This window comes from Homo sapiens, chromosome 7 (assembly GCF_000001405.40).
Source record: "Homo sapiens chromosome 7, GRCh38.p14 Primary Assembly".
Classification (NCBI taxonomy): domain Eukaryota; kingdom Metazoa; phylum Chordata; class Mammalia; order Primates; family Hominidae; genus Homo; species Homo sapiens.
Genome location: NC_000007.14, coordinates 143,283,399 through 143,308,388, shown reverse-complemented (window position 1 = coordinate 143,308,388; position 24,990 = coordinate 143,283,399). Strand labels below are relative to the sequence as shown.

The 24,990-nt window shown below is 45.2% G+C and overlaps 2 protein-coding genes, 1 long non-coding RNA gene and 2 pseudogenes across 16 annotated transcripts in view, besides 2 other annotated features; 1 reads left to right on the top strand and 4 right to left on the bottom strand.

Moving 5' to 3' along the window:
* On the bottom strand, positions 693 to 20,038 carry CASP2 (caspase 2). 3 transcript variants are annotated; one of them, NM_001224.5, is made up of 12 exons: positions 18,733 to 18,801; positions 16,699 to 16,849; positions 15,922 to 16,089; positions 15,691 to 15,772; positions 14,065 to 14,159; positions 13,616 to 13,792; positions 8,338 to 8,466; positions 8,095 to 8,185; positions 7,949 to 8,009; positions 4,456 to 4,605; positions 3,606 to 3,715; positions 693 to 3,449 (listed from the first exon to the last, which is right to left on the bottom strand). In NM_001224.5, the coding sequence occupies exons 2-10, from the start codon at positions 16,828 to 16,830 to the stop codon at positions 4,602 to 4,604; spliced, it is 939 nt and encodes a 312-aa protein (NP_001215.1). In that variant the 5' UTR covers positions 16,831 to 16,849; positions 18,733 to 18,801; the 3' UTR covers positions 693 to 3,449; positions 3,606 to 3,715; positions 4,456 to 4,601. The 3 variants fall into 3 exon arrangements, with proteins under 3 accessions (NP_001215.1, NP_116764.2, NP_116765.2); NM_032982.4 differs by lacking the exons at positions 7,949 to 8,009; positions 18,733 to 18,801 and adding an exon at positions 19,860 to 20,038; NM_032983.4 differs by lacking the exons at positions 7,949 to 8,009; positions 15,691 to 15,772; positions 18,733 to 18,801 and adding an exon at positions 19,860 to 20,038 and having other exon boundaries at positions 14,065 to 14,109; positions 16,008 to 16,089.
* RN7SL481P (RNA, 7SL, cytoplasmic 481, pseudogene) lies at positions 9,577 to 9,872 on the bottom strand (annotated as a pseudogene).
* On the bottom strand, positions 17,485 to 17,768 carry RN7SL535P (RNA, 7SL, cytoplasmic 535, pseudogene; annotated as a pseudogene).
* Positions 19,662 to 20,411: a silencer, noted in NCBI's record as "silent region_18720". NCBI's record gives its function as "represses an Ori minimal core promoter by ATAC-STARR-seq in GM12878 lymphoblastoid cells {active_cell/tissue: GM12878}" and the evidence as "EXISTENCE:reporter gene assay evidence [ECO:0000049][PMID:35858748]".
* Positions 20,340 to 23,490, bottom strand: TMEM139 (transmembrane protein 139). 12 transcript variants are annotated; one of them, NM_001242774.3, is made up of 5 exons: positions 23,391 to 23,431; positions 22,944 to 23,041; positions 22,749 to 22,835; positions 22,187 to 22,448; positions 20,341 to 21,965 (listed from the first exon to the last, which is right to left on the bottom strand). In NM_001242774.3, exons 4-5 carry the CDS (start codon positions 22,429 to 22,431, stop codon positions 21,560 to 21,562), a joined length of 651 nt encoding a protein of 216 aa, NP_001229703.1. In that variant the 5' UTR covers positions 22,432 to 22,448; positions 22,749 to 22,835; positions 22,944 to 23,041; positions 23,391 to 23,431; the 3' UTR covers positions 20,341 to 21,559. The 12 variants fall into 12 exon arrangements, 6 of the variants coding, with proteins under 6 accessions (NP_001269806.1, NP_001229702.1, NP_699176.1 ...); NM_001282877.1 differs by lacking the exon at positions 22,749 to 22,835 and having other exon boundaries at positions 20,340 to 21,965; positions 22,944 to 23,044; positions 23,415 to 23,490; NM_001242773.2 differs by lacking the exon at positions 22,749 to 22,835 and having other exon boundaries at positions 20,340 to 21,965; positions 23,415 to 23,490.
* Positions 22,055 to 24,990, top strand: part of TMEM139-AS1 (TMEM139 antisense RNA 1) — a 31,036-nt gene continuing 28,100 nt past the window's right edge. The window contains exons 1-2 of the long non-coding RNA NR_133932.1: positions 22,055 to 22,412; positions 22,551 to 22,671. This is a non-coding gene — a long non-coding RNA (TMEM139 antisense RNA 1). The remainder of the gene's footprint in view (positions 22,413 to 22,550; positions 22,672 to 24,990) is intronic.
* Positions 22,206 to 23,405: an enhancer, noted in NCBI's record as "MED14-independent group 3 enhancer chr7:142982077-142983276 (GRCh37/hg19 assembly coordinates)". NCBI's record gives its function as "activates an origin of replication core promoter dependent on BRD2, BRD4, P300/CBP and CDK7 cofactors, and independent of MED14, by STARR-seq in HCT116 cells {active_cell/tissue: HCT116}" and the evidence as "EXISTENCE:reporter gene assay evidence [ECO:0000049][PMID:35650434]".

Below are 24,990 nucleotides of genomic sequence, written 5' to 3'. Positions count from 1 at the left end.
GTTTGTTATAGGTGGCTCATACCTATAATCCTAGCACTTTGGGAGGCCGAAGCGGGCTGATCACTTGAGGCCAGGAGTTAGAGACCAGCCTGGCCAACATGGTGAAATCCCGTATTTAAAAAAAAAAGTTTTGTTTCCTACCAAAACTTCTGTACAAAGTTCCTACAGAACATTCCATCTCTTGCCAAATTCCATGGCCCATCTGCACCTGCACTTACCTCTCAGGCATATCCTTTAGATACAATGCACCCCCAAAATATCCCAACTTACACAAATTCATTGCTTTGATCTCTTCTATGCTGCACTAGAATTCTCTTACAATCTATGCCCACTCTAGAAGACCTTAAATGCAACCAGGTAAGAAATGGAATTTTACTATCTTCACTCTCCCATCCTTCTATTCCAGCCCAATCTGTTATGGCAGCCTACATCTCATAGTCTAAATAATCAAGAACCAGCACTGTTTGCTAATAACTTCCATTTCATCTGTGAGAAATCCCAGGACTACGCAAACTGAGATGGGCCCACACCTGCATATATTTACAGGATCACAGCAGCAAAATAAGAAGGGTTTTCAGGTCTGGGTATGCCTTGTGAGGTGGTAAGGAATGCTGCAGTGTAAGGGGCTAAGGAAACGAAATCTGTGGGCTTCAGAGGACTGAGTATCTACAGAAACAGATATTGAGCACACATCAGTAATAAATATGAGCATTTATTTGGCACCCGATGGCAATACAAAATCCTGGCAGTGGGAGTGGAAAGGTTCTCTCTCTCAAATACTTCCATACTATGTCGACCCAAAGGCAGGACTTGGCAGCAAGGCTCACAAACCACCCAAACAAATATTTATTGAGCACCTTGACTACTACAGGCCTAGCATTTTGCTAGGGACCATGGGAGATGTGAAGGAAGTTATCTCACACATGATATGTCTTCAAGGAGCTAAAAATGCCAGTGGATAAAAGCAAAACACATGGAAAAACAAAGTACAAATAATAATCCGTGTATATTGTCAAAAGGAACATTTTATCAAAAGGTAGGATTGTAGCTAAGGTTGGCTTGCCTTCTTCCCTCTTTTATTCAACAAACATTTAATGAAGGCCCACTATGTGCCAAGCACTTGGTACATGATGGTGAATAAAACAAACAAGGTTTCTGCCCTCATTTACAGCCTGGTAGGGGAGACAGAAATGAACAAGTAAAAGTAGCATATATATAAACTGCAATAAATGCAATGAGGGGAAAAGACAAGATGTGGTGACAGACACAGAAGTAGACTGCTCAGGGACTGAAGGGCCCGGGAATTGTCAAGACTTGAGGAAGAAGGACACCACCTGAGTCAAGAGTGGTGGGGGTGGAGAGCTGAGAAGGCCCAGGAAAAGGGCAGGAAAGAGCACAAAATTAGAAGCTGAGAGGAGACCACTCGGGCTGGAGCTTAGCAAGAAATCACCATTTAATGAGGTTCAAGGGGAAGGCAAGAACCAGTTCTCATAAACCAAGGTGAAGAGTTTACATTTTAAATGAGGGGTAATAGAAAGCAGAAGGGTTCTAAGCAGGGGGGTGATCAGATTTATATTTAAACAACCAAATCCTGGCCAGGTGTGGTGGCTCATGCCTGTAAGCCCAGCTATTTGAGAGGCTGAGGCGGGAAGATGGCTTGAGGCCAGGAGTTCGAGACCAGTCTGAGAAACATAGTGAGAACTCACCTTAAAAAACAAAAAACAGCAAACAACCAAAAAAAATTAAAAACCAAAACTACTCTGTTATGTGAGAACAGACTGGAGGAAGAAAGAATGGAAGTTTTTTTTTTTTTTTTTTTAAAAAAAGGTCTTGCCCGGGCGCAGTGGCTCACGCCTGTAATCCCAACACTTTGGGAGGCTGAGGTGGGTGGATCATGAGGTCAGGAGATCAAGACCATCCCGGCTAACATGGTGAAACCCTGTCTCTACTAAAAATACAAAAAAATTAGCCGGGCACGGTGGCGGGCACCTGTAGTCCCAGCTACTTGGAAGGCTGAGGCAGGAGAATGGCGTGAACCCGGGAGTTGGAGCTTGCAGTGAGCTGAGATCGTGCCACTGCCCTCCAGCCTGGGCGACAGAGCGAGACTCTGTCTCAAAAAAAAAAAAAAAAAAAAAAAAAGTCTTAAAGAACAGGGAAGTTGGGAAGTTTCAGATAAGCAGGGATAAAGGTTTCTAGGTTGAAAACAATAACATGTATGGCACTGAAATAAAAGCCACATAATATCAAAGGAGAGTTTAATACTGAAAGAGAAAGCAGGAACAAAGAACTACATTACATCTTTGAGCATTTACATGATCCTGTAAAGCAGGATTCTAGACAGATTTGGTGGCAGCAGCCAACAGGATGAAATGAAGGTAAAGAAGGGAGAGATATGAAGCAGGGAGATAAGCTAGGAAGCTTTTCTAGAAATCTAGATATGAAGTGCAGGTTGATTGAATGAAAGTGGGAATAGTAAGGGAGAGAGATGGACGTTTCTCAGGAAGGAAAAAGACAGAGAGGTGGTTACAGAGTCTAGGGAAACACACCATTCTTCCTGGCCTTCTCTGATGCTCCCCACGAGGCTCATTTCAGTAACAAAGCTCAGAGAAACAACCAACGAAAGATCTTTGAGACTTCCATGGGCAAAGATCAATAAGGTACAAATGCAAGGCAATGTTGGCTGACAGGCTGCGGTGCCTTGAGCCCAAACGAGCCAAGAGTGTCCTTCCACTGGGTGGCGCTGCAGTACTGAAGGGAACGCACAGGCCGCTTCTGGACACTGCAGCAAGGTGCGTCTCTAGTCATGTTTGCTTCTTCAGAGCCAAAAGATAATGTCTACATTAAATTTGGACACCTTCCAAACTCTCACTCTAGGACAAAAAGGGCGGAGGATATGAATGAAATAAAAGATAGGAGATGGTCTCTCAGACATCTTAACTAATGTAATAAAAGCAATCACTAAAGTGCCATCTACAAAAGCTGGAACTGAACACAAATATGGGGAATTTATATGCCCTCTCCCCATAACCACACTGTGTTTACAACTTCACTTGTCAGGCTCTTCAACTGCAGCTGAAACATTCCTGGCAATAGGTCCAACCAAGGCTGGCTCTACAGGCAAAGGGCTTCACAGAAAAGGAGCTGGCCTGGAGTCCCACACTCAAAGGCAGAGATGATGGGCACAGGAAACAAGTCTGGGAGATTCCCACATCCCTGAGGGGGCAGAACAGAAACCGTGCATCCTGAAGATCAAAGGCTCTATCACACCTCCTGTGGTCCAGTGGCTTCCACTTGGCGTGGATGATGGGGAGGTGACATCATGTGGGAGGGTGTCCTGGGAACAGGTAGAGGTGGCGGCACAGAGTGCTGCAGTATTCAGACATCTCCTTGCACCGGTGGAATTCTGTGCCAGGAGCATAACCTTCCCGATCCTTGATAAGTGCGTTCACCTGGAGGGGCAGAACCAATAGGCCCAAGTCTGAGAATCTCGGGCTTCAGGAGAGCAGCAAACGGGAAGGGGAGACGGACTATGAAAGAGCATTCAAGAGAGGAGGAAAGTAGAGCACTGTGGAGACACACAGGGGTCACGGAGCCCGCTGGCTCACCTTAACCAGCATGTCGGCCACGTGCATATCACAAGCCCGCTCAGAAAACACTTGAGCAAGAGCCTCGATGTACCAGGAACCTCGTTTGGTGTTCCGCATGGCGGCAGTCCCTGCAACCAAAAGGGCATTAATCACAGTGTGAATGCCATCACACAGCTGCACTTCCCAAACTAGACTCGGCCATGACACCTGCACCCTCCCTAGTCAGAGAACCCAGCATGAAGAATCTAAGTCTAGGAGGGTACTCTTTTGGATTATTGGCATACTTTGGAGATACCGTAGGTCTGTTTCCAGACCAGCTTAAGAAAGTGAATATGGCAATAAAGCAAGTCATACAAATTTTCAGGTCTCCCAGTGTATACGGAAGTTATGGTTACTATCCTACAGTCTATTAAGTGTGCAACAACATTATGTCTAAAACATGCATATGCTGTAATTAAAACATACTTTATTGCTGAAAAATGCTAACAGAGGCATGCCAATAGAAAAATGGTGCTGACAGATGCTCAAAGGATTGCCACAAACCTTCAATTTGTAAAAAGCAGCTGAGCATCCCAAATCCAAAAAATCTGAAATGCTTCAAAATCTGAAACTTTCCAAGTGCCAATATGATGCTCAAAGAAGGTGCTCATGGGAGTGTTTTAAATTTAGAATATTTGGATACGGGATACTCAACTAGTAAGTATAACGCAAATATTCCAAAATCCAAAAAAACAAAAAAATCCAAAATCTGAAACACTTCTGGTTCCAACACTTCAGATAAGGGATACTCAACCTGTACCTGCAAAGCACAATAAAGCAAAGTGCAACAAAATGAGGTATGACTCAACTCTTTTGGAACTCAAAGTACCTTTGAGGCAGGCATAGCCGCATATCATGTCTGAGCGCGTGGGCAGTCTCATCTTCGGCAACTTTTCTTTACCGGCATCACTCTCCTCGCACCCAGGGGATCCTGCGTGGTTCTTTCCATCTTGTTGGTCAACCCCACGATCAGTCTCATCTGTAACAAAGGCAGACAGAATGGACAATGATGTTACTTCTTCCTATCTCTCTTGGGCCTGTCACAGGCAAGCCCACGTTCCCTACAACCTTGAAGGGGAAGAGCCATTTCCAGCTGTTGCCTCCAACCTATGGCTGATAAACTAAAAAAAAAAAAAAAAAATTATTACTCTCTCAGCATGCATCTGTTACTCAGGGGATGCCTCATACACACCGGGCACCACGCTCAAGCACATGCACATCTATGCGGTTGGAGCAGTTCCCATTCTGTGTAAGACAGGGAAAATGCCAAATCAAATACTCCTTGTAAATGGAACTGAAAATCATCTAAGTCCACAACTCACTTGTTCAATTAACAATATGCCTGGGAGTCACAGTGCTTTTTATTGCAATACATAATAAAATATTGATATATTTAATTACATAAACAAGAAAAAACAAGGTAATAAATAACAAATACGGTTACCATATGTATGCTATATAAAAATCACAACCTCGAACTATGTATCAAAAAATAATAAAACTAAGTATGATCAGTTGTTTCCAAGGTGGTTTTGATATCTTCGAAGCACTATGTTTATTAATTTCATAAGATAAATTATAGCAAGCATCCAAGATTTAAGAAAAAAAATTTTTAATTTATTTTTTAAAATAACTTTTTAAATCTTTTTTTTTCTTTTTTTAATAGAGATGGGGTCTTGCTACGTTGACCAGGCTTGTCTTGAACTCCTGGCTTCAAGTGATCCTTCTGCCTCGGCCTCCCAAAGTGTTGGGATTATAGGCATGAGTCACTGCACCTGGCCTTATGAAAATTTTAAGAGGAAAAACTTAAAGTGGGGAGAACTTGACTGTTTTCTCCCAGAAAATTTAAAAAGATCATCCTTATTCAATTTTAGCAGTAATTTCTCAACATACCCTGAGCAGATCCTTGCTCTTGATACAAGCCTTATGTATCCCAAGACAGACTCTTATTTTTGATGATGTTGTTTTATTTTGGGTGTGGGCAGGGGTGCTGTCAGTAGGCAAGACAGATGGGGAGGACTCTCAGGTCAACACATCAAAAGTAAGAGTATGCTCTTTTACAGTACTTCCTGATCCATGCAATGTCGAGGGAGCCTAGGAAAGAAGGGAAGCTTCAAGAATTGGGGGAAAAGGACCAAAGCACAGGTTTAATAAAAATGTGTCAAGCAACTGCCATGTGTTGGGCACTGTCTTACTTTAAGGCCTAGGGATAGAGTGAAGAGAAAATTCCTGCCGTCATGGAGCTTACACTCCAGTTTAGAAGCTGACTGGGGCAGGGGGGTGGAGCTTTTTCTAGACATTAATTATATTAACCAAATACAGCAGGAAGACAGGTGAACTCAAATTTTCAATGGAACAATTGGCTACTGGTCATTCCTTGAAGGATTTAATTTCAGAAAAGTTAGAGAGACAGAGCAAAAGATCCAGATTACTCCAGAAAAGAGCAATTACTCCTTATCCAGATCCAATAGTGTATTAAATCCCTGGATATAGGATGAGAAAATCACAATTTAACGTCGTTTTGTTAGTAAAGACGCCTAAAGGAAACAGGCCAAGCTAAAGAGAAAGGAGAATTCCTCTCTCACCTTTATATCACAGATCCATCAATCAATAAATGTCACTGGTTCTTTTGTCACAATATCCTCATATTTGTTTTTTACATAATACCTACAGTTTTTCAGGCAGATTAATTTTCATCCATTCATTGAACATTTATAAGTGCTACCATGCATCAGGCAGTGCCCTGGGCCTGGGGATAGAGCAGGGAATGAAAAGTAAAGTTGCTGACCCATAACCTCTTTCCTTAGTGCAGCCCCCTCCATGGCAACCTTGCTGGAAAAACAATTCATCACATTATTTCTTACTTAAGCTCCCAACTGTTCCTTACTTTTACCTGCTGATGTCCAAAACCTCAGTTATGACTAAAGGTTTGTAAGGAGGTGAACCCACTTCATTGTGACCAGCCACATCTCACATACTCACACAGATGCTATTTTAAAATCAGATCCGAGCATCTGTTTGGGAGGAGGGGAGACACAACATGCCCTCTGCCTCTCAGTGTACTTATCATATTGTATTGTTTCTTTCCTACGACAGACTCTAGATACTACTCTATAACTATGTAAATCAAATTACTCCAGGTACAAATTAAGCCTTATCTTATCTAAAAAATCTCTTTAAACTACCCTCACTTAAAATGATCTACTCTTACTGCATACTCCTTCCTAAGTACAGTTTGTACCTTGCTAATTTCACCTTTGCTTACATGAGGCCTGTGAACTAGTCTTAAGCTACTTCATGTATATTTACTTTATTTTCCTGAGTAACTGGTCTGCTCCTTAGAGAGGCCACATTTCCTTCTGCTTTTGCGGTAGTAACTGCCGTAGTCTGAGTCATGTTGCAGGGCCTCAGCAGACTATATTCTGCGGTAATACTAGATCAGGATGACAATAATATTAGCTATTTACATTTGGCCACATGAGAGATTAAAAAAGTAATTATTTGAATGTTTGGACAAAGTGACCTTTAAAGCAAACTATAAGCCCTTTACGGCACTGATCGTGTTTTAAGAGTTACAGCTGGCATATTTTGTGGATGTGCTGTGAGCCAGGTACTGAGCTATGTAAGCCCTTAAATGCATAATCTCATTTAACCATCACAAGCACCTTATGAAGTAGGTACAAGGACTATTTTCATTTTATATTGAGGAAACTGAGATGGAGGGATGCCATTTAACTTCTTTAACTTCACGTTACTAGTAAATGGTGAAGTCAGAATTTGACTCCAAAGTTAGGGCTCTTAATTACTATTATTTTCCTCCAGGATGAGAAGCACACCTATGTGTCTTTTAATCCTCGTCCTGCAGTCCTGGCTCTTAAAGGAGTAAAACAGACTGCATGAGAGAAAGAGGGGCAGCAGCAGCTCACGGAAAAGGAAGAGTCAAAGGCCAACACGGATTCTGTTCTGCTATCCTGCATGACCCAAGAATGGTAAGAAGAAAGAAGAAAGGAGGCAAGCATGGAAGTGTAGGTAAACAGGGAAGTATATGGAACAAGTGAAAAGAACAAAGAGTGAAAGAAAGGAGATAAAATAAGAAGGACAGGAAAAAGACAGATCAAAAATCCGTAACTGGAATGAGTAACCAAAAAAAGGGCACCAGAGTTAATGAAGCACAGAAAAGAGTAAGAGTTCTCAGAAAGGAAGGCAAAGACACGGGATAAGAGACCTGAAAACAGGATATGGTGGTGCACGGAGAGCTGACCAGCCTGAGAGCCATGGGCTGCCCAAGTCCCAGCACACCCCATGCATTGGGAGACACTTACAGAGCAAGAGAGGCGGTGGCAGCAGTGAACAGAAGGAGGTGCCCAAGGGATCCAATAGCACCTGAGAGGAGCAAACAGGAAAGTGAGAGCTGGTGGGAGGCTGCCCAGGAGCCACCACCCAGGTGCTGGTCTGCTAGGGCACTCACCTCCACGGCAGGCCTGGATGAAGAACATTTTTGGTTTGTTCTGTAGGCTTGGGCAGTTGGCGTTGTCAAAGAGCTGAAAAACCTCTTGGAGCTGCCAGAAAGAAAGAAGGAAGAAGAGAGGTTAAGCATTCAGCGGGGCCTCCTAAGTCCTACACATGCAACAGTAGCCATCACTTGACAGACAGCAGGCAGGAGGTAAAGCAGCCTGGTTTCAACAGTTGGCTTCCACCAGGGTATCCGCACCTGGAGCAGTTTCCCATCCACACCATAGATGGCGCCCTCCACACCATGCGAGAGGAGTGCCACGATGCAGGAGTCCGTGACTCGGTGTGCAGGTAACTGTGCAAAATTCTGCAGTTTCTCTTGCATTTCCTAAAAGAAAGGAATGTTTAGTGTTGTGCACTAAGGTCAGCACCAACATAAGCATCAAAGTTTGGTTTCTTTTTGAAACCCTAAGCTATTAGAAGATAAAACGCTTTATGTATATTCCTGTGGTCAATGATAAAAGAAGAGACCTTTTGAGAGACTAAAGAAAGCTATGGACTCACCAGAAAAATGCATATGAGTTCAGACACAATATTCTGAATACAGATTCAGACTCACTGAGATAGGCAAACAGCTCCTGGATTAAAGCAAGTTACTAAAGAAGCTAATCATGAGCTGGTCAACTCTGATTAATTCCCTGTTCATAACCAGATCCTTCATTAGAGCAACTGCCCTTGTATATAAATGGCACAAGGGTGACTCAAAGTGTAGCTATGAATAAGTAACATGCACATTCAGCTACACGAAAATAAACTGTTCTGTGACAGCATCATGATAGTAGAGAATAGCAATACTTGTATGTTGTCTTCTAAGATTCTAAGTGTCCAAGAGATAATGATGATGACTGTATAAAATGCTTTGTTTCAGAAAGAGCACGCTATGAAGGAGGATTCTGTACAGGGCAGTAATTACATACACAGGTCCTGGGTTCAGATTAATCTAGGTTTGAACCTTGGCTTCATGAGTTGGAACAGCTTACTCAGACCCTTGAGACCTCACTTTTCACTTTATAAAAAAAAATTATGAGGATATTTTCTCTAAGTTTGTGAAGATAAAAATGAGATATTATGACAAAGGACTTGGCCTGGACAACCTAGCAAGACTCCATCTTTAAAAAAAAAAATTAGCCAGGCATGGTGGTGCATGCTTATAGTCCCAGCTACTCTAAAGGCTACGGTGGAGGGATCACTGGAGCCTAGGAAGTTGAGGCTGCAGTGAGCTGTGACTGCACCACTGCACTGTAGCCTGGGTGACAGAGAGAGACCCTGTCTCAAAAAAAAAACCAAAAACCGATCACTGTGTCTGGGACACATTGCAAAAAATGTGCCATTACAATGTGCATGTCGAATAAAGAGTATTTTTCTCAAAGAAATCTATTACTGGTCAATGTTGTAGTCCAACTTAAGAACTGTTTTCCTGTTTATCTTTTTTTTTTTTAGACAGGATCTTGCTATATTGCCCAGGCTTGAGTGCAGTGACTATTTACAGGTGTAAGATCACTACTGATCAGCACAGGAGTTTTCACCTGCTCCATTTCTGACCTGGGCTGGTACACCCCTCCTTAGGCAACCTGGTGGTCCGCCACTCCCAGGAGGTTACCATATTGATGATGAACTTAGTTTGGACACCTGATCAGCATAGCACACTACAGCCTAGAACTCCTGGGCTCAAGGAATCTTCTTGCCTCAGCCTCTAGAGTAGCTGGGACCATAGGCATGTGCCACCATGCCTGGAGAATCTTGTTTATCTTGCACTAAGTTGCGATACATGAAGAGCACTACCTTAAGCATTTGGTCCATCCATCAGAAGGTTATACTGTGTACCTAAAGAGCATAATAATTGGGCACACATGTTTAAACCTATGCCTCCCTCTATAATTCACGATGTCTGGGTCTTCTGAGATGGGCAGAAAGAAAACAAGTTCATTTTATTATAAACTTGAATAAAATGTAATGAAAATAAGTAAGTTATCTGGGTGGAAGAGTTAAAACACACATATATTTAATCACACACACTGCCAAAATAAAAAGCACACTTCTATAATATAACATATTGCAGTAGTTCTCAGAGTGGCCCCTAAAGCAGCAACAGCAGCATCACCCAGGAACTTGGAAGAAACGTGAAATCTTGGGCTCCAGCAAAATGTGTTTTAACAAGCCCTCCAGGACACTGTGATATGTTAAAGTTTGAGAGCTACTAATTGATCTGTTCGGAATACTTCTGTTTGTAGATAATTGAGATGCAATTACATAAAATATTTGAAAGTCTGCAATATAACTAGAAATAAAGAGACTGGTGTTGTTGAAAAGTATCTGTATTTTCTAAGTAGAAGCAAACCATAATAATAGAAATCTTAAGGTAATGACAGATAATCAAAAAATTCTTTCAAGAATATATAATTTCAAGAGAATACATAACTGTGAATGTTCCTCTGGAGCTGATGCTAATAGAATTTAACATTTAATAGTTAAAGAAGTTAATTTTGCTCAAAGAAGAAAACAAAGGCCGGGCGCGGTGGCTCACGCCTGTAATCCCAGCACTTCGGGAGGCCGAGGCGGGTGGATCACCTGAGGTCAGGAGTTTGAGACCAGCCTGACCAATGTGATGAAACCCTGTCTCTACTAAAAATACAAAAATTAGCCGGGCGTGGTGGCATGCGCCTGTAATCCCAGCTACTCAGGAGGCTGAGACAGGAGAATTGCTTGAACCTGGGAGGCAGAGGTTGCAATGAGCCCAGATCGCGCCATTGCACTCTAGCCTGGGCAACAAAAGTGAAACTCCATCTCAAAATAAAAAAAAAGAAAACAAAAATTATATACCTGGGCACCGAATCACGAGCATTTTGAATTTAGTGAGATTAGGTCAGTAAATAGAAAACAATGTCCAAAAAAAGAATACACGCACTTTGTAACCAAACTTAGTAAGACTAAACCATTCAATAAATGGGGATTAGACATTTGGAGGAATTTTTCTACAAGTAGCATAGCTTAAAATAGGATCTGCAGATTTGTTTTTGATAAAATTACAGTACTTCTATAAATAGCAGGGTTCTTAACTCCTAAGTGTATTTTTGGCTAGGGGTTGGGGGACATGTGAAGAGAGTAACTTGTGAACCCTCTGAAATTATATGCTAAATTATATGGGCAGCTGCATTTTCCAGGGATAACCCATAGCTTGTCCTTACATTTTCAAAGCAGTTTGTGACCCAAATGCAAGCTAAAAAAACAATACCACATGGTAAAAGGAAATTTCCACTTTGAAGAGTACGTTTCCTAACATAGGGTAAATCATAATTCTAGAACTAGTAACCTCATGAAGTAGATGCAATAAAAACTTAATAACAAAGAGAAAAGTGAAAACATCTGGGCAGTGAGAATACCCATGTTCACTGCAGCACTATCAGGGGAAGAGGAGTCTCTAAGACTAATTATACTATTTCCTGTTTTTAAATGGAATTCCTCTCTTAAGTAAGAAAGATTTGATAGGGAAAGAAAAAAGGATCTTTTTTTTTTTTTTGGTTCTGTTTCTTTGCTTGCCAAATAGCTATATGATAAACGAGTTGACTCTCTAGGGAGATCCCACCAGGAAGAGAGCATTCTGTGCAGATGCCCAGTGTACCAAATTATGACACCCATTGCAACTACCTGGTTTATAACACACACATTTCTTGTCCACATACTGTTCTCCCTGCCTAGGGTGGCTTCACCACTCCTCTCTGCTTCAGTAACTTCTATCCTTCAAGGCCAGCTTAAGTTCTGCCTCCTCCACTTATCCTTCTGATCATATCTACCTAGGCGCTTCTTCTTCTTAGCTATGACAGAAGATTTTTTCTCTAATCTTGTTTGGTCGTTAGGAATATAAGAGGACACACTTCCTTTTATGCTGATGTCAAAACTCCCTCATCTGATCTTTAAAATCTGTGGCAGCTCACATAGTCCCCCATTATAAGGTGCTTGAAGTTCAACTCTACTGCAATTCCAGTTACAGAGCAATTCAACCAAAGAATTAGAATCCAATAGGTCACTGAATATGCATCAGGCTTACCATAAATGGAAATGCTATTTATGAAGTGAGCTCATAAACTCACCAAATCTGACAGTCTCTGAGAAAACAGCAGTATATATAGTTGACTTAGTGACTCAGTATTTTATCTTTAACTATTAGACATGTAAGATCCTTTATCAGCTGCATACAACTTGAAAAACCATGACATAATAGATTTCTAGTAAAAGACATGGCTAGACCAAAACCTCTAAGAAAACACACACACTGCACATTTTGTTAAGTGACCTTCTGTAGGAATTATGGCTGGTACCCTGCCCTTTGCCCCTTTATGCCCAGCAGACTTCTCAGGAAAGCATATAAACTACCTGAATACTTGATGACTGAAGCAGCTGTTGCTGCCATGGCTTTGAAGCAAGGGTGGATTTAACTACATTGCATATGCTACAAGGGGGAAGCTGGCAAAAATAGCATGTAAAGGACAACACCCAGGTACCTGTGGATGAAACTGGCCTTGCCAAAAATATAGTAAATACATAATTACTCTCACAGAAGGAGGGCAGCTAAGAAAGAGAAATGAAGACTACAGACAATGCTGAATGGAAAACAAAGATCCTCTATCCCAACAGATCAAAGTGAATCTCCTAGCAATTTTAATTTCACCACTGACAACCTCAAAGCAAGTTGAAGAAAGTTCTACTATTCTGGAATCAAAATAAAGAGTGAATATGAATCTACAAATAGGCCATTATTGATTGCAAAATAGAAACCCTAAAGGTCACAAAGTCAGTTGTGCAGTACAGTAACTGAGGTTAATGACGAACAGCCCATAATGAAAATGTTTACAATTTCTAGAAATCTGGTCCACAAACAATCTACCCTATGACTTGTGATTACACAAATGTTAAGAATACTTTCCCAGCCAGGTGCCGTAGCTCATGCCTATAATCCCAGCACTTTGGGAGGCCGAGGGGGACGGATCACCTGAGGTCAGGAGTTTGAGACCAGCCTGGCCAACATGGCAAAACCCCGTCTCTACTAAAAATACAACAATAAGCCAGGTATGGTTGCATGCGCCTGCAGTTCCAGCTACTCAGGAAGCTGAGGCAGGAGAATCGCTTGAACCTGGTAGGCAGAGGTTGCAGTGAGCCGAGATCGTGCCATTGCACTCCAGCCTGGGTGACAGAGCTAAACTCTGTCTTTAAAAAAAAAAAAAAAAGTGAGACACCAACTGTGGACTATTATTACTTTATGAAACCACAACCTGAGATGTCAACACTAAAATGGCTGGCCGGCCCTAATTCTTTCTTACTAGAATGCAAGGTGAGAGGCAGAACAGAGTGAGTAAAAATGTAAGTAGAATAAACCAACTTTTAAGACATATCCCAGCAGGCACAGGAACAAACGATGTCTCTGGTCCCAAAGTGTTGTTCAGTCCTCTAATTTACATGTCAATTTTTCCCACCTCAGGTACCTGTGCAGTCTGGTCACATAGAACATGGACGTCATAGCCCAAAAGCTTGAAGAGGGTGACTAGAGTACTGTGGTCCACATCCCCTCCAGAGCGAAATTCCAGTTCTTTCTCTCCAGTGAAGTGCACATTGCTCAACACCAGTGCTAGGCCACGAGGCCGAGACTGCAACCTATATGCCTGTGGAGGAGAGGCCAGTTAGACCATGAGCGTCTTGATAACAGATGATTCCTCGGCTAGATTAGACATTTCAAGAAAACAAAGACATCGTATTTTTCTTCTTAACCTCCAGCAGGTAAAAATAGACAAATGCTCACAGAAGGCATTTAACCAGTAACAACTTTCTGACTAATAAGGCAGAAAGGAAATGTACATGCAAACTAAGTTCAGGTTCCCAGGAAGGGTGTCTAATTTCCCAACTCTCTTCCTCTTGTCATTATGCAAAAACTCACCAGCTGGAAGTGTGTTTGATAAAATTCAGGAGTGCAAGGCTTCACCTGAAGGCAGACAGGACCATCTTTATTGTCTAGGGAGTGTTCCACAGTATCTGTGGTATAGACAGAAAACCAAAAAACTAGTATATAACTTAACCATCAATCTTAATATGTCATTGTAACTTCAGACATCTCTTGCAACTGGGTTGTGATAAATATTGGTCTCACTCACTACCCAAACCTGTAAGCTTCATGAGGGCAGAGACTCTTAGTTTTAGCTCACTAAAGGATTCTCTGCACATAGCCTGCATGAAGCATATGCTCAACTGGCTGAATGACCGAATGGGCTAGCTGATAAAAGCCTCGTTCCAATCACTAGGATGCTCCATCAGCAGGCTGGTGGCCCCAAATGTAGTCTTTTCTTATTCAGCTTTTTAGAGGCCAATTGAGCATGAACTTCCTGCCCATACATGCTACTCAAAGGCCCAATTATCACAAAAACTGTTATCTGGGGTGGAAGGGAAATGGACCAACTATTAATAACACCTTGCCTGGGCCGGGCGCAGTGACTCATGCCTGTAATCCCAACACTTTGGGAGGCCGAGGCAGGCAGATCACGAGGTCAGGAGATGGTGAAACCCCATCTCTTACTAAAAACACAAAAAATTAGCTGGGTATGGTGGCACGCACCTGTAATCCTAGCTACTCAGGAGGCTGAGGCAGGAGAATCACTTGAACCCAGGAGGCAGAGTTTGCAGTGAGCCGAGACTGCACCATTGCACTACAGCCTGGACGACAGAGCAAGACTCCATCACAAGAAAAAAAAAAAACAAAAAACCACAAACTCCTGCATAAACTGTCCTACTAGCCCTTAACAAATTTACTGACAACTGTTCCCAATATAAACTATGTCTCAGCTGGGCATGGTGGCTTACGCCTATAATCCCAGCACTTTGGGAGGCCAAGGCGGAAGGATCATTTGAGGCCAGAAGTTTGACACCAGCCTGGGTAACAAAGTGAGACTCCTTCTCTACAAAAAATTTAAAAATGAGCTAGGTGTGGTGGCATGCACCTGTAATCCCAGGTACTTGGGAGGCTGAGGCAGGAGGAGCCCTTCAACCCAGGAGTTCAACGCTGCAGTGAGCTATGGTGGTGTCACTGCATTCCAGCCTGGGTGACAGAACAAGACCCTATTTCTGAAAAAAAACACAACAAAAAAAAAAAAAAACAAAAAAAAGGGCTCATGTTAGGACAAAGCCAGATACCAGACAAGAAAGGGGAAGTCAATCTGGGACACCCCCCTCCTTTTTATTTTATTTTATTTTATTTTTTGAGACTGAGTCTCACTCTGTTGGCAAGGCTGGAGTGCGGTGGCACCGTGTTGGCTCACTGCAACCTCCGTCTCCTGGGTTCTAGCAATTCTCCTGCCCCAGCTTCCCGAGTAGCTGGGATTACAGGCACCCACCACCATGCCCAGCTAGTTTTTATATTTTTAGTAGAGACGGGGTTTCACCATGTTGGCCAGGCTGGTCTCGAACTCCTGACCTCAGGTGATCCACCCGCCTTGGCCCCGCAAAGTGCTGGGATTATAGGCGTAAGCCGTGGCACCTGGCCTGGGACCCCTTTTAGTCCATCAATTCTCACCTGTCGACAGGCGGAGCTTCTTGTAAAGGGGACAGGACTCACACACCGGAAAAGGGAGACTCAAGTCGTAGTCACAGCTCAACTGTAAGAAATCAAAACTCATGATGACAGACCTTAGGGAAGTGGTCCGGTCCAAATACAACAAAATCTAGTCTCCCTCACTCTGACTTACAAATTCCTTTCCAGTCAAACTAACCCTTCCCAACACCCCATATTACTAAAGCTTCATACCGGTGGGAGTACATGCTGAAGCCCAGAAAGGGTGGTGAGCAACATATCCTCCAGGTGGCCTTGCTTGGTCTCCCTCAGTGCTTCACAGAAGGCATCAAAAGCTTGGGGACCCCTCTTAGGCAGCAAGTTGAGGAGTTCCACATTCTGGCTGAAACTGCCCACTTTGGCCTAAGACACAAGAATAAAACATGAAATCATATTTACTTCTCTAGCTATAATTCTATTTCTCCACATGAGCTTCCTAGTAGTGTCCTCATCCAAGAATTCTTTTTACAGGAAAAGTGTATGTATGGGTGAAGTCCTTTCTGTTATTCTTGAGTTATATATCATTTCTCTCAAATGCTCTACGGTAGAAGGGCATTTCCATTTCTTTAGAAAGGTACAACATCCAGCTGGGTGTGGTGGCTCACACCTGTAATCCCAGCACTTTGGGAGGCCGAGGCAGGTGGATCATGAGGTCAGGAGATCGACACCCTCCTGGCTAACACAGTGAAACCCTGTCTCTACTAAAAATCCAAAAAATTAGCCAGGCATGGTGGCACCTGCCTGTAGTCCCAGCTACTTGGGAGGCTGAGGCAGGAGAATCACTTGAACCTGGGAGGCAGAGGCTGCAGTGAGCCAAGATCGCGCCATTGTACTCCAGCCTGGGAGACAGAGACTCTGTCTCAAAAAAAAAAAAAAAAAAAAGGAAGAAAGATACGACACCCTTTCCATATTTTGTCATGCTCTATTCCCACCCCATGATCAATTTATCTTCTCTCTTTTGCCTCCAGATACCTGGATGAGCTCCCTCATTTCCAAGGTGATGATGTCCTTCTCCAGAAGATGTTCTAACAATTCGCTCAACAACAGCTGTTTGGCTAGCACCACTCGGTTCTTTTTTAGAGTTTCCTGATGATGAGGATGCATGCCACACACTCCCAATATCCTACAGATAAACGGTAGAAGGAAAGGCTGTCAAGTCACAATTTGACACAGAAGAGTGGAGTGGAAGAGGCATGAATAGGAAGAACAAAAAGAATAAGACTTACAATAACCAAGATTATGCATATTTCTTAAATCTGGTTAAAGCAAAGATGTACTAAGCAGGAACACATTGATCATAAGAAAATAATGTCTAATTCCTTATGGTTTATGTTCAGCTGAGATCATCTGAGATGAATGGTCTGACTAGAGGAGGGAAATATCTGTCTTAAGCAAAACAATACCCCCAAGTACACATATTTATGAGAAGGAATACTTCTCTGATAGACCAATTTTAATAAAGAGAATTATTTCAGAAAACATCTCACATTATCTAAGCTGGTGAAAGTGATGTAAGTTTATAATGATCTTAGATGAGGGTTAAAACACTATGGTAAAAACTCAAGCCAATGGCTTTAACAGAAAATAAATGAGGCAGACACTAACTCTCTTTCACTAGTGATATAAACATATAATTACATGTTTTTTAAAACTTTTAAGTTCCAGTGACAAAATGGCGAATCCTGTTAAGATGTGGATAAGCAGAAAGTATGACAGAAAGTCACAGTGGATAGGTATTTATCTATTTACTTTAAAAGAGTCTCACTGTGCCACCCAGGCTGGAGTGCAGTGGCTATTCACAGGTATGATCCCATTACAGAGCAGCACAGGAGTTTTGACTTGCTCCATTTTTGACCTGGGCGGGTTCACCCTTCCTTAGGCAACCTGGTGGACCCTGACTCCCAGGACATCACCACACTGATGCTGAACTTAATGTGGACACGTGACTGGCATAGCACACTATAGCCCAGAACTCCTGGACTCAAGCGATCCACCTGCCTCAGCCTCCCAAGTAGTTGGGACTACAGGCATGTGCTGTCACCTCCAGCTAATTTTGCTACAGGCTTGCAAAGAGATCAGCTTCTGCTTATAAACTAAAATAATCCTATTGCCAATATGTCATCTACATGCCTAGTTTACATAAATCCAGAGTTCTCTAGCCTGCCCCGTCACATTTTCCACATATGTAACAGCAGGAAGGGTGGCACCTGATAGCAGTGAAAATACAATAACTTCCATTTATAACTTAAAAACCTACTCTAAAATGCATTCTGATTTCTAAGGTGTTAAAACATGAGGGGAGGCCGGGCACGGTGGCTCATGCCTGTAATCCCTGCACTTTGGGAGGCTAAGGTGGGCAGATCACCTGAGGTCAGGAGTTCAAGACCAGCCTGGCCAACATGGTGAAACCCTGTCTCTACTAAAAATACAAAAAATTAGCCGAGTGTGGTGCTGCATGCCTGTAGTCCTAGCTACTCGGGAGGCTGAGACAGGAGAATCGCTTGAACCTTGGAGATGGAGGTTGCAGTGAGCTGAGATCATTCCACTGCACTCCAGCCTGGGTGACACAGCAAAGACTCCGTCCAAAAAAAAAAAAAAAAAAAAAAAGGGAGGGAAAAAATGTGTATCTTAGAGTCAGTGAAATACCACACATCTATGGAATGGATGCACTTGGCTTGCAGATGCTATTGGGTGAGAGATTTATAGTTAGAAGAGGGAAGAGCTGGGTCCTGGAAGAACTGGGAGAACTAAGATAGCAGGTGGGATCCTAAAACAGATGAAGTGGGTTGGAAGCAGCCAATGAATCTGAGGTTTGGAAAAATGAGTCTGAAACTCCATTTTTTCTTCTTTTTACTGTAATATTTCCATTACCCAAGACTTTCAGGAAAAACTGGCTACAAGAAAAAGAGCTATACAAATAAAAAAACCTATTTAAGAATGAATCACTTTCGAATACGTCAAAGCAGTAATAACGATCACATATAACACTGCAGCTGGGATACTAACCAGTGGTGCAGCAGATTTCTTCCATTAGTTTACCAGTAGTATTCGCTCCTTAAATCGTTCTCTTCCTCTGGTTTCCATGACAGCATTCTTTGGGAGTCTTCTCTCTGCCTACCCAGTTCCTGTTTTCTTTAGAGGGCCTTTGGCCTGCCCTTAATATTGATATTCCATTAGGGACGCCCCTTCAAAGAGCCTTTCCCTAGACAATCTCACCCATACTTGCAACTTACTGACTTATAGTTCTTAACTCTCTCGAGTTCCAGACTTGAATTTTCAATCAACTCTTTAGTTTTAATCTGAAGCATCACCCCCTCTGCACACCCGCTCCTTCCTCTACTCTGTAGTATGAGAGTCTTAAACGTGAACATTATAAAAGTTTCCAATCATTTAGAATTTCAGGACACAACTGGAAGGGGAGGAGGGGCGAAGGGCACCACGGAGTTCCTACGTCTTAATTCTGTGTCCTTCTGCAGGTTCCCTTTGCGAAGACCTTAATCTTCAGTCTCGAGCAGGAGGCATTACAATGTTCTCCTGGGTGATGACTGCCATGAAATGGAATGACCGGGGCAGAGGCATGGACACTCGGAGCCACAGGAACCCCCTTGTTCTGCCAAAAGTACTCAATTTCCAAACCCTGTATTGACTTCTTTGAAAATCTGGTCATTCTATGCAAAGCCATGCAGATCATGATACAATCGATACAAATCAAATGCACATCAGGCAGAGCACCGAGGTCTGCAGAAGGTCTCGTCGATTTTTAAGGAGACAGAGTATGGTCTTTTTATAGTTTCCCTCATAAGGGAGCCAGAGGAAAGGATGAAGAATCTTCAAGAGAACCCAAGAGCGGGCAGGACTGCAAAGACCTCCCCTTTAGAACCCTCGTGGGTTGAACAAAGGGAGGCTGGGGCAGTCTTTTCCCACGAGAGACAAGGCCAAGAGGTCCGCCCGCGGGCCCTTGCGCGGAGTCAGGCTCGGAGCGGCTCGGGCGGGCGTCCCACCCTTGGCAGGAAGCGCGGACACGGCTGCTTTCCGGGGCTCCGAGGGGAGGGGGCTGCAGGGCCGCACGCCTGGGGGCCACGCTCCCCTTCCCTGGGCTCCCCTAAGGAGCCCTAAGACCGTTCCCTACTTACCTGCGTCCCCTGTCAGCGGCCATCAGCTCCTTGTGCTGGAAGGTGGACCAAGACCCCGCGCTCGGCGCCGCCATTTCCCGCTTTTCCCGGGCTCTCCGCTGCGCACCGCCCACAGCCCAAACAAACCGGGGGCCGTCGCTTCCCCCACATCCCTCCCCTCAGACGCGGACGCACACTGCGCCTGCGCCTGCGCCCTGCCGCGCCCACACACCAGGCCACCCAGTCCCCGGCCCGGTGCGTGCGCAGGCGCAGAGCTCTAGCGGCGGCCGCGCGGTCCAATGGGGTGAAGTGGGGTGCTCGGCGGACAGACAAAAGGAGGGGAAGGAGCGGGGCGGGGCAAAGGGCGGGGAAAGAGCGAGGGCGGGCGGGTGTGCTCCGTTCGGCCTGGGAATCCGATTGGTTATCGATTCCCGCGGAAATCACCCCGGTGCCTCTCGCGCCCCCTGGCCGGCCTATGGCGATAACTTCACGGAGACGGGCGTGGCTGGAGTTTTGCTTTATTGAAGTTGAACGGTTGGGGCCAGGCTGCGAAGGAGACTGAGAGCGCGACAAGGCCCTGGACAGATGCCCGCGCGGGGAAGGAAGGCTGGCTTAGGAGGGGGCGTCAGCTATGGTTTAGCAGCTTCCAGCGACCGAAACCTACATCACAGCCGCAGCACACAATTCCAGGAAACCTGGTGCTCAATATTGGGATCTCAGGAATCAGGACCGGCGGCTGGGGTGAAAGCCTAGCGGTCAGAGCTTAGGAGTGAGGCAGAAGCTGTTAGAGACTCTTCGCAAGTGACCCCGGGGCTACATATGGATGATTCAAGAGGGAGTCTCCTCGCCAGAAAGTTCACATGTTTCACTCCTTCTGGCCTTCATACCAACCCATTGTTAAAACTGGAAGTCCCTCCACCTGGGGTCACTGACTCCACTGTTTTCAGATAGGATGGGGACCCTGCACTGGAGACTGCTCTCTAGCCCCTGGGCAGGAGAGGCACAGACACTGCTACGCACGCGGAGCAGGGATCACCAGCGCTTTGACTGACTTTGCTCGTCCAGGAGGCTGGGGACATGCGTGCCCATGCTCAGCCCACCCCCTCTGTAGACACAATTGGTCGCCCATTCTGTTTATAGGAAGTCTTCCATCCTGCACCAGCAGCTGTCCCTAGACAGGGATTGGGAGACATGCAAGTTGCTTGGCTTCCTATTACCTTGTGTTGAAAACACAATAGGCTTTGGGATCAGGAGTTCATTCCAGTTATTTTAATGTTATTTACTAGCAGTGTGCCCTCGTGCACATTATCAAACTCCTCTGACTCTTGGAATCCTCATTTTTCAATAATAACTCACAAAGCTGTCAAGCCTAAGGGTTCTAACAGCTCGAACAGCACCTGGAACAGAAGCAATAGCCGCCACTCAGAGGTTACTTCTTCCTTCTCCGCCTTCTCTGGATCACCTCCCTACCTCATCCTCAATCTAACGCTGGAAATATTGGATATGGGGTAGGTCACCAAATGTTGCCAGAAGACTCAAATTATGCCACCCATATCTCAGCTGGGAAGGGCTTACCGTGGCCTGACTCTCCTCAGGGTCCAAGTCCCCATTTATGATGTCCAGGCAGAAACACTTGTTTCTGACACATAGTAGGCGCTGGAAAATGTTAGTCAAATGAACGAGGTCTGGTGTGGAGAGAAGAGAAATCTTGGGAGAGTCATTTAAGGGGGTGCCCAGTTGTCCTCATAAAAAACACTATCATCATCAGGGTGACCAAAGCAGACATCATAGGCAGGGGGTGGAGTCAGAGGCTCTAATGTGGGGACTGCCGCCAAGCTCTGCAGATCAGGAGCAGTGGACACAGCCCGTGGTCCCCGAAGCCGAAGGTTGATTGGAGCTCTTCCAGGGCTTCCTTCCTGGGCCATGGACCCCTCTGAGGCCATTCGCCTCTGTTCCAGTTTGGCTCTCCTGGACCCCTCTGGATGGCTAGGTTGTTCCTCCTCAGGTGCTGGGGGTATCACAACAGTGCTGTAGGGGGGTGGTTGGTCCAACTCTTGGGGGCGGCACTGGGATTCTAGTCCCACCACGGCCTCTTCATAGACTGGCACTTCAAAGGCTTCATTGTCCCTGAGGGAAGAGAAATAAGGCCATTGGTGGCTTCCATGAAAGAAGCCCTTTTTCCCTTTTTTTTGTCTGCTGTGGGCAAAAGATCCTCTGTTGGCCTCTGACCCCTCCTCCCGCTGATGCCAATGACAGGAAACCAGAGACTCTCTGCCTCAGAGACTACAGGGAGAGAGGGAGGATGGGCCCAAGGTGTATTCCTCTTACGATGCCCACCCTTAACTCACCGTGCATTGCCTGAGGGCCCTGGGCTCTCAGTCTGCATTGATTGGAGCTGGGACCGAAGCCCCCATTCCAGAAACCGGACCAGGAGATAGGCAAACAAGAAGAAGCCACCCAATGTGAGAAAGAAATAAGCAACGGGGGTGATGTCCGTCTTTATGCCCAGCAAAGCCAGCCCCAGTAGGAAGGAGGCGCAGCACAGGAGGAGAAGCGGCTTCTCCAGTCTCCCCAGTAAGTGCATTGGCACCATGGCCCCTCCCCAGGCTCCTGCAAAAAGACACACAGCTATTGTGTCTACACTAGCAATTGGTGTCATGGCTGTGTCAGATACCAAAGTAACCATATGATATTTCTTTGTTTGGTTTCTAGGTTCTTCAATCTCAAATAAATCATCTGTAGAGTCCCCTCCAGTTCCGAAATTCTCTCTATGTCTTGGAGTGTGTGGAATAGCCAGGAAACCAGCCCAGGAGCTTTGACTCCCAGCCATTCTGTAAGTTGACTGTGTCATGGCTCTGCCTTCTTTCCTTTCTCCTTCCCTGTAGTCTCCCTTCCAGCTTTGTCCCTTACCACCATCCAGGATCCGGTCCTGGGCACGCCCTGCCTGGGGCTTCAGTGCACACTGGCATCTCTGGAATTCAGGTGATGGGGCAGGCCCTGCCCTTCCTCTGTTATTGCTCCTACTGGATCTCCACCCCCACCTCCCCAGCCAGAGGCCCTCAATCCAGCCCCGTTAGAGAGAAGAGGGGAGGGAGCCCCACTTACCCTGTCTGACTCTGTCTTTTCCTTTCCTCCGGTGTTAGCCCATGCTCCAGGTGGAGGGAGAAAGTGCACACAGGCGCACCAAAGCCACAGGGACACAACTGCTTGAGAAACAATTGTACAGGCAAAGGCCCAGCACAATGGCCGGAGGCCCTGATAACTCCTGTCCTCTTCTAGACCCCACATCTGCCAGGGCCCTCCTCTACCCTCTGCTGATCCTAACTTGTTAAACTCAGTTTGCAAATTTCCTGCCAGGAGGTAGCCCAGTGGCTGGGAGGCGGTGGGCAGGGGAACTCTTTTCTTTCCTTGTAACAGCAACAACCCGAGGCAGCCCATACCCCAGAAACAGCCTGTCAGAAGTTGCCAGCGCTCTGTGTAGCAAGGAATTGCAGATTCCCTCCTCACACCTCGGTCCCAATCCCATGACCCTCCCGACCCTCGCACCCACACCTGTCTCAGAAGTTCGTCGCTCACCTGTCTCCACAGACTGTAGAAAGTAGATGGGGTGGGGGGTGGTGGGAAGGGCCGGAGCGGGTAGGTGGAGCCCACTGGCCCCACCCTCTTTTTCTGTCCCAATCCCTGTTCTGGCCCAGTCAGTCTCCGCCCCTTTTCTCCCTAAGGCTGACTTCCAACTGCTGAACCTTGATTTGTTCTGGTTTTTACTCTCTCCACCCACCCATGCTGTACCCTAATGAGAGTGCACCCCTGACTCCCAATGATCTTTGTACTTAGGACCGGAGTTAGCATTAACCTTTCCCTCTCGGCGCATATTGTATGTTAATTACAGCCCTGGGCAGTTTGCCTTCTATTTGGGTAATTTACCTTGTGCGTCTCTCCCAAGTGACTGGAAGCGGAGACCTCGGCTTATTTAATCTCTGTAGATCATCACACAGTGCACTGCACACAGAAAGTAATGCTGTGGGCATGGAATGGTGTGTCCTGCTTCCATTACCCAAGTGCTATTTTTATGGACTCCCTGTATTCTGCAGACCTGTCAGAAGTGTTAGTGTGTATATTTCTTGACCCAGTTAACTCTTGAGTCTTCAAGATCCTCCTCCGAGGTGATGCTGCTTTGGAGCCTGCTCCAGTGTATCCACATCGTTCCTTCCTAAATTTGTCCCAGCATTTACCTGGTTATGTAGCATTTTTCTGCTTACTGATTTTCCTTCCACTGTGAGTTTCTCAAGGTGCGTGATTAGTTTTAATCATCTCTGAATCCTGGAAACTAACATGGTTCCTGAAACGTGGTAGGTCACTAACTAGAAGGCTCCCCTCTCACCAGGCCTCACCACACCTGTGAAGATCAAAGAGCTGTTCTTTTTAGTTGTGGGTCAGGCAGTTAAGTCGGAGTAGGGTAGGTGCTTGGAGGTAGAGAGTGAGTAGAAGCATACTTGGTCCTTGAGCCAGAGGGTGAACAAAACTGGGCCCCGTTCCTTCAGAGGGTGACCAGCAGACAGACCGAGGGAAGCTGCAGACCGTGGGCACAAATCCAATCCAGGCTCCCCAGGGACAGCTGGGGTGGGGAAGCATAGGAGAGGGTGTGTGTGTGTGTGTGTGTGTGAGAGAGAGAGAGAGAGAGTATGGGAATGAGAATAACTGTGTCTGTAGTGGTAATAAGTGTGGGCACTGGTGGGATATTGAAGATTCTCTGTCCCAGAGCCCCAGATCGATAGCAGAGAGAGGAAGGAGACATTAACAGGAAGGCTGTGGGAGTCTAAATGAGGTGTGTCTCTATGCAAAGTAGGCACAGGAGTGAGGGGGGCTGATTGTTGTTCTGTTTCAGCCAATTTCCTCACTGTTCTGCTCATAAGGGGAAAGTACAGCTGGAATCAGGACTGCAGTCTACAGTTAACATATGAATAGAAGGAAATTGGCCAAGGGTCATTGGTGTGTGTGATAGGAAAGGGGGTTTGTTAAGGAGTGAGTTGTGGGAATGGGAAGGTGTAGGCTAAGAGGCACGGGGCCAAAAGGTATGGGCCTGAGGTGTAAGGGGAGAGTCTGGGAGAGGCGGACCTTTGTAGCTTAAGTCTCTTGGTTGCCGGAAGGAGAG

Excerpts from the sequence above, each read along its gene's own strand:
- CASP2 (NM_032982.4), bottom strand. The coding sequence starts at position 19,933 with ATGGCGGCGCCGAGCGCGGGGTCTTGGTCCACCTTCCAGCACAAGGAG. Across the intron at positions 13,793-14,064 it reads ATCAAACACACTTCCAGCTG|GCATATAGGTTGCAGTCTCG; the intron begins GTGAGTTTTTGC and ends TCTCCTCCACAG. Across the intron at positions 3,450-3,605 it reads TGGCCGACATGCTGGTTAAG|GTGAACGCACTTATCAAGGA; the intron begins GTGAGCCAGCGG and ends CTGCCCCTCCAG.
- TMEM139 (NM_001282877.1), bottom strand. The coding sequence starts at position 22,431 with ATGGTGCCAATGCACTTACTGGGGAGACTGGAGAAGCCGCTTCTCCTC. Across the intron at positions 21,966-22,186 it reads GGGCCCTCAGGCAATGCACG|GGACAATGAAGCCTTTGAAG; the intron begins GTGAGTTAAGGG and ends CTCTTCCCTCAG.